The 12855-nt window shown below is 37.3% G+C and overlaps 1 protein-coding gene across 19 annotated transcripts in view; it reads right to left on the reverse strand.

Annotated features, from left to right (window-relative positions):
• Window positions 1–12855, reverse strand: part of COL24A1 (collagen type XXIV alpha 1 chain) — a 427752-nt gene that overhangs the window by 77596 nt on the left and 337301 nt on the right. For all 19 annotated transcript variants that reach the window (NR_146340.2, NR_146341.2, NR_146342.2 and 16 more), the window contains 2 exons: window positions 11206–11259; window positions 9960–10067 (listed from right to left, as the gene is read on the reverse strand). Coding sequence is in view for 13 of the 19 variants with exons in the window: in XM_047417004.1 (XP_047272960.1) it covers window positions 9960–10067; window positions 11206–11259 (162 nt within the window). In the remaining 6 variants the exon portion in view is untranslated. The remainder of the gene's footprint in view (window positions 1–9959; window positions 10068–11205; window positions 11260–12855) is intronic.

Here is a 12855-nt window from a genome sequence, read left to right on the forward strand (position 1 = left end):
CTGTTGGCCAGTGCCTTACCAAAGGGGTATGAATGGGAATGAAGTCCCCTGTAGTCACAAGGCAGATATGACTGAGAACCCAACCCACTGTAAGGCTTGCAGAATTTGCATATTAATACATCTTCATCTTCAACTAGCCAGATTCTATGCTAAGATAAGAGCACTGGTGGAGAAAGAGAAGAACTCCAAGACAAGAAATGGGGACATTTGAACAGACATGGGCAAGACTAAGAACTCTGAACCTCTAATCCTGCTTAACCTTCCTGGCTTGTGGAGGCAGCCCCTACTCAAGTGCCTGGGAACACCATTAATAGTCCAGTAGATTGGCAATTTGAAGCCTGGACTCGATTGTGGCCTACAGTCAATGAGGTTGAAATGCTATAACTTCCCTCACAATAGAAAGGGGTTCAAAGGCCCAGGAAGATGAAAATGTGGAGATAACTCTATTATTGCAATCGAATCAGCTACCCTCTAACCACAGCCCCTGGAAGGGCTCAAAGAGCATTCTTTACCACAGAGTTAAGAAACATCATTGGAAATAGGTTCTCTGATATAAATGGGAACACTGGAATCCCTGAGTGGTAGAATCCAGGTCATAGTGCTTTGCTATCAGAGAAAAGGTAGGAGCAATTATCACAATAAGCTACAATGATGGAGTGGAATCAGACTGTTTTGCACAGATCTGTGGTGATGGTTAATTGAACATAGGAGACATAGGAATTGAATATACCATAGTGTACTAGAATATATTAATATACAGGTGGAAAAATTGTAGGTCTTATAGATATAAATCTTACTTAAGTCACTGTGCTTGGGATTCATGTACTCTCACTCAGTTCTCAGACTCAAGCCAGTTCCTAGATCAGAATCCCTTGATTGAGAAGGAGGTAGGTTCTCTTTGAGAAAAAACACTGCAATGTGGTCAGAGATGTATACTACAACTCCTCCCCTAAGTATTCTTGAGAGAGACCTATGGTCATTTACTAGGTGACTGAACACTGGGAAAAGACAAATTCCAAGTCTTTCTAGAGCTGTTAAGATACTAGTTATAACCTGATGATAATCCCTGGAAATAAACACTGTGGTCAGAGTGGAAGCTTACGAGGGTCAAGTGATAAATGGAGTTTTCATCCAATTCCATTTCCAAGTGGGTCCAATAAAGACTGTGAGCTCAGTTTTTATTTTCTCCCCTCCAATCTCAGAGCATAGTGAAACTTCCTAACTATAAAGGCTACTACTATGGTAAGATGGGAAGACACAAATGAATGTTCCTACAACTATCCCTTCCTGTCCCCTCCTCACCAATATAAATCTAATGTAATAACACATCCTTGTGAAAAACTGTACATATTACTCCCATCCCTGTGGAAAATTGTACATATTATTGCCATAAAGGCCTGAAAGATACAGGGGTAGTGATTCCTACTATATTCCCTATCTGTTTTACTCATGTGTTTGGCTAGAGCAAACAACAAATAAACCTGAAGAAAGTGGTAGTGTATTACAAACTTAACGGGTTGGGGGATGATGCCAATTACAGCTGCAGGTTCTGATATGGTATCTTTACTAAACAATATAGCCACTGGCAACAACAGCTACTGACCTAGCAAAAATATTTCCTATCCACATTCTTATCAGTAAAGATAATTGGAAGCAGTTTTCTTGCCTTCATGTGGCAGGAAAAGCAGTATCCCTTCCCTGTCTTAGCTCAGTGCTATGTCAACTCAATTTGCTTCTCTGTCATAAAACAGACTGAGCAGATATCTTTATATTCTGGATATCTCACAAAATATCATTCAGGTCCATTAAACTGGACTTGGAGAGTAGAAAAGAACAAGCACCCTAAAGGTGTACCAGAGGATAGAATTTAAAATTTCAGGGGCTTGATAAATGGGTGTAATCACCCAATGGGTTCTCCCTGCCCGTTGCACAGACAAAAATAAATTCACTGAGACTGCAGCATTGCAGTAGAGTTTAATTGATGCAAGGCTGGCCCACATGGGAGAACTGGAGTTATCATTCAAATCAGTCTCCCTGAAGGCTTAAAGGCTAGGGTTTTTATGGACAATTTGGTGGGCAGGCAGCTAAGGAATGAGTGCTGCTGATTGGTTGGGGATGAAATCACAGGGGTGTGGAAAACTGTCCTTGTGTGCTGAGTCTCCCTCTGGATGGGGCCACAGGATCAGTTGAGTCATGATTCATGAGTCTGGTGGAGTCAGTCAGAAAGGTATCTCAAAAAACCCAATCTTATGTTCTACAATAGTGATGTTATCTATAGAAGCAACTGGGCAAGTCGCAAATCTTGTGACCTCTGGCCATATAACTCCTGAGCAGTAGGGATTATAGAAACTATACCTATCTTGTAATCTTGGCCACATGACTCCTGAGCAGCAAGGAATTAGAGAAACTAAACCTACATGTTAGTAGAGTTCAGGTCTCTCCCATAATCCTATTCTTGTGGGCTTTAATTAGTCTTACAAGGCAGTTTTCATTCCCTGAGCAAGGAAGGGGTTAATTTTAAGGTGGGACTATTGTCATTCTTGCTTTCAAGTTAAACTATAAACTAAATTCTTCCCAAAGTTAGCTTGGCCTTTGCCCAGGAATGATCAAGGACAACTTGGAGGTCAGAAGTAAGATGGAGTCAATTATGTCAGATTTCTCTGACTGTCATAATTTTGAAAAGGCAGTTTCATGGGTGAAGTTCCAGGAATAATAGTTTGGGGGCACATCAGGATACCTCCTCCAAAGTAGAGATAAATTGTTGTACTTTGCACTGACTGACCATCACAATAAAAGGGGCACAGTTCTGGTGAGCCTCTGTGGACTTTGGAGTCAACTTATATCAGATTTGGGTGTTCTGCTCCAATCCATTTTCTTAGTAACCTGTAAGGTTGCTGTTTTTTTTGTTTTTATTATGGAGATATATATATATACACACACACATATATATAGTATATAATATTATATATAGTATATAATATTATATATATATAATCATTTTAACCATTTTTAGGTATGCATTTCAGTGGCATTAGTACATTTACATTATTGTACAACTGTCACTACCATTTATCTACAGAATTTTTATCTTCTTTAACTGAAACTCTATACTCATTAAACAATAACTCTCCATTATCCCCTTCCACCAAACCCTGGCAGCCCCATTCTACTTTCTATCTCTCTGAATTTGATTATCCTAGGTGAGGAAGGAGGTCAGCAGCACTTGTTTTCCAAGAACTGGCTATGACCCCTGCTGATCAAAACAGGATCTGGCTAAAATAGGGTGCAGTAAAGAAACTGACCAAATACAGCTAAAACCAAAATGGTGAAAAAAGTGACCTCTAGTTGCCCTCAGTGCTCATTATACACTAAGTATAATATATTAGCATGCTAAAAGACACTCCCACCAGCACCATGACAGTTTAAAAATGTCATGGCAATGGTTGGAAGTTACCCTATATGGTTTAAGAGGGGAGGGGAACCCTTCCTTGGTTCCTGGAATGCCCCATCCCTTTTCTAGAAAATTCACAAATAACCTGCCCCTTATTTAGCATATAATTAAGTAGTAGCTATAAATATAGCTAGCCAGCAGTCTATGAGGGCTACTCTGCCTATGGGGTAGCCCTGCTCTATCTATGGAGCAGCCATTTTCCTATACTCTGTTGCTCTGATAAACTTGCTTTGTGACATAGTTTGGATATTTGTCCCTGCCCAAATCTCATGTTGAATTGTAATCCCCAGTGCAGGAGGTGGGGGCTGGGGGAGTTGTTTGGATCATGGGGGTGAGTCCCTCATGGCTTGGTGCTGTCTTTCTGATAATGAGTTCTCACAAGATGTGGTTATTTAAATGTACATGGCAACACCCCCTCTACTCTCACTCTTTGTCTCTCTTGCTTGTTACTGCTTTCACCGTGTGATGTGTCTGTCCCCACTTCACCTTCTAGTCTCCTTAAAAGCTGAATAGGTTCCAGCACCATGCTTCCTGTAAAGCCTGAAGAACTGTAAGCCAATTAAACCTCTGTTCTTTATAAATCACCCAGTCTCAGGTATTTCTTTATAGCAATGCAAGAACACCCTAATACTCTTTGCCTTCACTTTACTCTGTCAGCTCCCTCCTGAATTATTTCTTGTCTTCCTGGAAGACAAGAACCCTCCCTGGCTGAGCCACAGTTTTGGGGTTTGCCAGTATCATAGGTCTTTCATATAAGTGAGATCACAATATTCATCCTTTTGCGTCTGGTTTGTTACATTTAGCATAATGTCCTTCAAGTCTCATCCAGGTTATAGTGTGTCAGACTTTCATTCCTTTTTAAGGCTGAAAAACATTCCATTGTCAATTATTCCAATATATTCCAAAAATATTCCAATGTCACATTTTGTTTATTCATTCAATCACTGATAGACATTTGGGTTGTTTCTACTAACTATTATGCATAATGCTGCTACGAACATTGGTGTAAAAATACCTTTAATGATGAATACATTAATTTGCTTCACTCTAGTCATCTTTTTACTATCTATATGTATCCCATAACTTCTTATTGTATATCTTAAATTTATACAATAAAATTTATTTAAAAAAATCTTTTACATTCCTGCCGTCAGTTCTTTTGCATATATATATACCCAGAAGTGGACTTGCTGGATTATATGGTAATTCAATGTTTAATTTTCTGAGGAACTACCATACTGGTTTTTACAGTATTGTGTCATTTACCTTCCCAACAGCAATGTGCTTGTGTTCTAATTTCTCCACCATCTTGCTAACACTTGTTATTTTCTGTTTTTGTTTGTTTGTTTATGTTTGTTTTATAATAGCATCCTAACATGTGTGACGTGATATCTCATTTTGCTTTTGATTTGCATTTCCCTAATGGTAGTGATGTTATATATCCTTCCATGGGATTACTGGTCATTTGTAAATCTTCTTTGGAGAAATGTCTATTCAAGTATTTTGCCAGGTTGCCAGTTTTGAGTGGACCCTGAAGTAAGAAAAGGCTCTGCAGCAGATTCAGGGTGTAAGTTACAATGCTATTAATATTTGGACCTCATGACTGAGAAACTCTAATTATATCAGAAGGCTCTGTAGCTGGTAGAGATGCCATATGAGCCCTTTGGTAATCTCCCATAAGAGAAACCCTGCTTATATCTGTAAGATTTTGGAGACAGGCCATGCCCTCTCTGTCAAATGCAATTTACCATTTGGAATACAGCTATGAGCTTGCTCCGATTGAAACTGAATGACTGAACCTGGAATGTCAAATGGCTACGCTCTCGTTCTCTGTTTTGCCCATTATGAACTCGGTAATAATCGAATTCACTGAACCATAAAATTGAATGTATACCGCAGCACTCTATTCTTAAATCAAAATGGCATGTATTGAAACTGGGCCCTAGCACGTCTGGAAAGCACAGACAAAATGTGTAAGCAAGCAATTCAGATTTCCATGACACCCGTTCCCATTGCTTTGACATTGCTCCTTCAGCTTTCCTAGAGAATTCCCTTTACCAGTTAATGGAGGAGGAAAAACCTCAGGCCTGATTTTTGGATAGATCTGCATTGATTGTCAACATCAGCCAGAAGTGTACAGTTTCAGGCTGCATTAGAGCTTGAAAGATGTTAGTAAAGTGAACTCTTTCCAGTAGGTAGAACTTGAGGCAATACATATAGTTAGAAGGAGAGATGGCTTGAGATACGGATCTACATTAATTCAGAGAGCACTGGCTAAGAGTTTGGCCAGCTGGTCAGGCACTTGGAAATAATGGGTTTGAAAGGCTAATGATAAGAAGGTCCGAGGAAGATAAATTTAGATGAACTTCTCAAAATGAAATCAATGTAGAGTTAATTATATTCCATGTAGATACTTAACAGACAGCATCCTCTATAGAGTAGGTTCTCAATAATCAGGTAAACAAGATGGACCTTTAGTGGATATCAGTCAACATTTTTCCATACTAATCATAGTGGTTGCTCAATGGGCCCACTAACACAAATCCAACAATATGGACTTTTCTTCACCAAGGTTGATCTGGCTACCACCCCTGGTGACTGCCAAACCTGCCAAACGTAGAGGCCAACATTGAGCTCCCAACAAGGCAATGCTCCCTGGGAGATAAGTTGGAGCTATAATAGCTGCAATTGTTCTCACAGGGGTAGATACCTATTCTAGACATAGATTTGCTATTCTACCAAAAGTTCTTCTGGTAGTTAAAATGTAGTTGATACACAGCACGAATTATATGTCAGAAGAGAGAGAGCTGATATACCTATAGCAATATGAATGTATCTTTAAATCCCAGTGCTAAGTGAAAAAAAAAAGATGCATGGTCTAATATCATTTCCATAATTAAAGATATGCATAAAAACCTGTAGTATATTTTTGGGACAGCATACAGATAAGAATATACATTAAAACATATAAAATAGTGGCTATTTTAGGGGGAGGGGAATGAGAGTGGGGATAAAAAGAAGTCAGCCTAAGAGTAGGTCCATGCAAAAACTGAAGGATGACAATATGCCATAAATTCATTAATATGATTATCCCAACAACTGTGTACCTAAGGTAAAAGACAGAGGGAGTGGAAAACCTTAAAGAAAAAAAAAAAAGAAGCCAAAGCTGAAAGACCTTTTTTTTTGCCTCCTTTGGCATCCAGGACTCTGGCAGGTGACTTAGGTCAAATTACTAGAAAATCTCATTCAGGTCTTTTTTTTTTTTTTTTTTTTTTTTTTTTTTTTTTTTGAGACGGAGTCTCGCTCTGTCGCCCAGGCTGGAGTGCAGTGGCGGGATCTCGGCTCACTGCAAGCTCCGCCTCCCGGGTTCACGCCATTCTCCTGCCTCAGCCTCCCAAGTAGCTGGGACGACAGGCGCCCGCCACTACGCCCGGCTAATTTTTTTGTATTTTTAGTAGAGACGGGGTTTCACCGTTTTAGCCGGGATGGTCTCGATCTCCTGACCTCGTGATCCGCCCGCCTCGGCCTCCCAAAGTGCTGGGATTACAGGCGTGAGCCACCGCGCCCGGCCTCATTCAGGTCTTTGAATCTTGAAAAAGTGGCATGAAGATGCATGACAGTTTAGAAATTATTCATAGTGCAGTAGCATTGGCACTGAGAGTCCAATGGTGGCCATGTTGACTGGTGCCAATGTCATTGGTGGCACCCTAACTAGACTACTCTTTGCTTGGGGTGTTCTGTTGCAAGAAATCCTTAATTTCAGACTGTTTTCTGACCCTGGATTTTGAGCTTTTTAGCTGATTCTGTAAGCAACCCAGTCACTATCTTATAATTTGTTTTCTGCTTAGGTTAGCCAGAGAAGATTTTTGTTTAAAACCAGTCAGACTTGGCTGATATCCCAAAGTCCTAATTGGGTTATAGAATGCAAATAGCCTCATCATCTGGCCTTAAGACCCCTTCATTCTTGTGTATTCTAGATAGAGCCAGTGTTTCGATTTCAGGCATGAGCCTTTGCCCACACAGAAAATAAAACTAGCATGACAGATTCTAGGAATAAGGTTTAGAGTGGCATTGAACGGAATCAACATTTTATTTGTGTTAACTCAGTATTTTTTGTATTGGCTTTCTCTTAGCCATTAAATTACTATCCTTTAAATATTACCTCAATATTGAAGAAAAATGTAGAGTTGTTAGAAAACGTCTATTTTCTTGCTAGAAACAAGCAACAGATAATCAGTGCCACATTGCAATTTTCCTAAATAAAAATGGCATATATTGAAACTGGGCCCTAGCAGGTCCAGAAAGCACAGACAAAATGTGTAAGCAGGCAATTCAGATTTCCATAATATCTGATCTCAAGAGAAAATGGTCCATAATTTTATAATCCATATCAATGTTTTCATTCCTTAAAATTTTCTGTCCTTCCTGAGGGATCTCTAGGTATTACATATTGCTAGAAAGAAGTTGTTTGTCATAATGAACCAGTAAATGACTTGAGTAAAAAGTAATTAATGACTTTGATATGTCACTAATGTCCTGACGAGTATCTCATAAGCTGAACATCTGAAATTGTTCTTAAACTCATATATAGGATACTGGTTTCTATTATCCACATAGGGAACTAATATCTGGATTAGTAGTATTTTAGCCTGAGAACAAATGACTTCCTGGTCCTATTAATAAGTTAATTACTACTAATATATTATTAAATAAATTCATTTGCTACTACTAGTACTTTTACAATTCACTATTTAGCCTTATAAACTATTGGGTCCATCCACCCCACCTCCATGATTATACCTGTGTATAGCAGCAACAAATATGACGTATTTTCACATGTGGTTTTCCTTGTTTGAATTCTCAAAAATCTTATTCAAAGCAACAGGAAAAGATTCACTACAATATTTCCCAGTAAAACTTAATCCACAAAAATACAGACTCTCAAACCAATTCAAAGGGTTTTACTGTTGTATTTTTAAAATTTCACAATCTCATTATAAGACTATCACATGGTGAGTCCGGAGATTAGCATGAAGATGGAAGCCCAGTGCATGAGCTCCCTTTAAGACTGGGATCTCAAATGAGTCTCTTTTAACCAGACTGATACTACTAGCAAAAGTCTATACAATATTTATTTTAATTAAAAACTTTGGCCTGGCTGTTAAAGTTTCGTAGGCCGTAACCTGATGCCATGAGGCTCTGATATGTTTCTTCCAAAACAAATAGAAACCATGTTAGGACTTCTTAACAGCCTTCATATTTTCAGAGAATCTGACTAGATATTTATTAGTGACATAATTATATTGGTTAAGTTATCATTTCATTTTTTTAAACAAATGAGATAACTCATTGTAGTGAAAAAGAATATTAATTTGTATTTAAGTTTAGGTATAGCACCATACTAGATTTGAATAAACATTAGAATTGACTTATTACCTAAGAAAAGAGCAACAAATCAATAGGTAACCATATCCAAATAGCAGAAATTTAAAAGGGTAAGTTTTACTGTATTCTTAAAAGTGTGTGGTTAATTCGTCTAATGTTTAAAGTAAAAACAACCTGTGGTAAAAATGTCTCAATTAGGATGACATTAGGGAAGGAAAGCGGGAAAATGGTTAAGCAAAGACAAAAATGTGATTTTTAAATTTCTGATCAAATAAGTAAGATAGAAATCTGCATAAAAATAAGAATGAATCTACATTATTGCATTACTTTTTTCCCATAACTATCACGGTGGTTGCTCAATGGGCCCACTGGCACAAATCCAATAATGTGGACTTTTCCTCACCAAGGCTGATTTGGCTACTACCCCTGGTGACTGCCAAACCTGCCAAAAGTAGAGGCCAACACTGAGCTACTAACACAGCAATGCTCCTTAGGGGATTAGTTCGAGCTAGCTGTGATTGTCCTCACAGGGGTAGACACATATTATAGACATGGATTTGCTATTCTACCAAAAGTTCTTCTGGTAGTTAAAATGTAGTTAATATATAGCATGAAGAATTACACATCAGAAGAGAGACAGCTGATGGACCTATTGCAATGAATGAATTAGATGAACACAGAGAAAATATTCACACAATTCTTGTAAAATACTGAGGCTATAAAAGTAAAGGGAAAATGATTTTTCACAGAACCTACCTTGAGTTACTGCCAAGACCTAAATGTTCCAAAGGTGGCTTAAAACATTTGATGAACTCAAAGTACAGCCAGGTTGTGTAGTCCTTAAGCTTTTGCTTCTTTATAGGTCTTCTTTAACAGATTTTATATTTTTAAAATGGCATGAATTATTAACACTATGAGTTATTAGATATAAAATACTGAAGAGAATGTACCTATTGACAGTTCCTGGAAATCCTAAATACAACTGCATAATAGCTATTAGAGAAATGAACTGGCTTAATCTGAGCCAATGCCAAAGCTAAAATAGATAGCCAAAATATCTATGGTCTAGCAAGGAGACACATGCATAGGAAATAATGAGCAAAGAGATATCCGTACTACTCACAGGAAGTCCCTGTTTTCCTGGTGGCCCAATTTTTCCAGGGTTTCCTGAAATGCCATCTGCTCCATGGTATCCTTGTATGCCTTTTGGCCCAAGTAGGCCTTGAAGTCCCTTGATAATTAAAAATTATTTGGATTGTAGAGATGCTGAAAAGATGTTAAGATGACAAATACTTTTTTATTTATTGAGCTGGAGAAGTTTACATTTTTATATTTTGTTCTAGGACAAATTTTCCTGTTTCCTGGATTCCTTAATGATTTACTATTTGGATTCAACAGATAACTTTAAAAGTTTAAAAGCCTTTAAAAGTTCCCCAAACAAAAATGCCAAGCTGATCAGCAATTTACTGTGTAACTTTTGCGCCTTAGTGTAATTCTCTGGTGTTTCTTATTGTGTCAACCAATATTTTATATAATTGTGGAGAAAAGATCAGCTATATGCACCTGTCAGCTTAGGATAGAGGTTATCATTTCCCATCTGCCAAACCTTGTATTGTGTTATTTTCCCAAGAAATAAATTATGGCTATTCAGCTGCCACTTTGAATCAGATAATTATATGACTGAAGTAAGGTCTGAACATTTTGTTTCTACACTTGGGCAACTAAATTTCATATGCAAGGATCTCTGATCTGAATGTGCTTATAATTTACATTCATTTTCTCTATTTTTTTTTCAAGCCAATACAAGTCACCCAAAGCAGGCATCTAATCCTTGGCTAGGGGACACCAGTAAAGTCTTTGCTAAAGAGCCAGTCAACACTTATCTGCCTGGCCAGGAGAGGAAACTGATGGTGAGGTAAAAGTTAATCTTTGTGATGAAAAGATTAAATTTTTTTTCCTAAGACTTTTTATTTGTCTAGAGAATGAGAGGCTGAGTCCTCTAAAATCTAGCTCATGTCATTTTAATTATGCTTGAATATCTCTGGCCTTTGTCACCATTCATTTTGTTACGATTCTAAGTTCTCTGTTTTTCAGTGGTTCACCGTCAGAAGCATGAGTCCACCGGGAGGGCTTCATAACCAGGAAAATAGCATCCTTCAACTGCAGGGACTTATATTTAAACAGCAAGTTTGGTTTTGAGTTAATGGTCATATTTTGTTCCCTCTGTGTTCCAGCATGGGTTTAATTTTTTTAAAAGACAATCTGATTTATCCAACATGATGACACAATTGGCCCCAAACTTTTCTGCTTGCTAAAGTTGCCAGTTCCATTTAGAAAAGCAAGAAAGATGAAAGAGGCCTGTTACTTACAGGAATCCCAGGTTTCCCAGAAGGACCAGGAGCTCCTTTTTTCCCCTTATTACCCTAAAGATGGAAAGCACAGTTGTCAATTGACTGTAATAATCTTACTTAAACTGAAGCCATAGAAAAGGACACTGAGACCTGGACGCTGCAGCAAGAACTAGCACGAACTAGTTGTATATCATTAGGATTGCCATTTAATTTTCCTGGGAGTCAGCTTCTTCATCTGAAAATGAGAAACTTTGACAAGATCATCTAGTAATTTCCTTGTAGCTCTCAATTATATGATTTAAGAATTTAAACTGTACTTCTAAAAGGGACCTGAATAGATTATTTAATAAATGTCCCTACTTTCAGGAAGGGCCTTGATCTCCTTTTGAAAATGCTACATATTTACTTAATTCAGTAAACATTTATTGAGTATCATGTATCAGGGACTCTGTCATGCGCTTGGAAGGCAAAGGCAAAGTTCCTCCTTACAAGGCACTTACAGTGTGGTAAGAAGAACATGAACTGATAGCCTAAAATGTGCTTTTCTGGAAGAATAGAGAAGAGCATACTTGTGATTCAAGGAAAAGATATTTATTTCCCACGGAACTGTTTGTTTTTCCATGTGTGAGATGTTTTAAATCATAATTGATTCAGCAGTAATGGGTCTGCCAGGATAGTTAGGAACTTTGCTCTTGCAAATCATGCCATTGTTCTGATGACATTCTAAAAGTATTTAAAGAAGAAAATGTGGAAAAGGTGACTTGGTTCACAAATAAGAAAAGGAATCATGTTGTCATTACCAGACACATTTCTCAGAAATCATCAGAAGTTCTCACAAACAGGATAATCCCACTAAAATGGGATGTTAAATCATTCAATTTTGAAGACAAATTGTGCTAAAGATTCAGTTTAATAATAACAACAAAGAAACAACTTCAAAAGATGTTACTTTTTTGACAACCAGCTTAAACATTTTATGAAGAAATAGTATATGTTGTCACAGAGAAAAAGAGCATCTTCTCTAAGAGATAAAAATCCAACTTTTGCAGGATTTGACAATGGGGAGATATAAGGATCATGGGTTGTACTTCCAACTTTGAAAACTATTGTACTTGTCTTAGAAGTCACTAATGCAAAATGTTTCTAAAGATGAGGAAACCAGAAAATGGGATAGTTAGTGACCTGGGTTTAATTAAAGTATACACATTTCTAGAGCATATGATCCCTATAAGTAAAATATGTTTTTCCTAACACAATAAAAAAGCAAAATAAACAAAGACTATTTTAAATAGTGGAAAAAAGTTGTGATTTCAGTCATCTTGAAATACTTATTAAATAGCATATGAATCATAATATGCAATTATGTTAATCAGTGTGTTTTTTCCTTTACAGTATTTCTTTTTATGCAACGAGATATATCTGTTCTATACTTTTGATTTTTCAAAATAGACTTTTCCTTGGCTTTTGAATTTTAAAATAGTCCAATGAAACTCATGGTGGGGGTAACAGTTTGAAAAAAATATGTTTTCAGTTTCAAAATCATGTTTTTTAAACACAAAAGCCTGACTCTTAAATATTAAAAGTCTATCTTTGAGTTAAAAACCAAGGTTTGTTATAAAGGACTCAAGTCATAAAATTTATGCTATAAAGAACAGATTTAAAATAATA

This window comes from Homo sapiens, chromosome 1 (assembly GCF_000001405.40).
Source record: "Homo sapiens chromosome 1, GRCh38.p14 Primary Assembly".
NCBI classification, from domain to species: domain Eukaryota; kingdom Metazoa; phylum Chordata; class Mammalia; order Primates; family Hominidae; genus Homo; species Homo sapiens.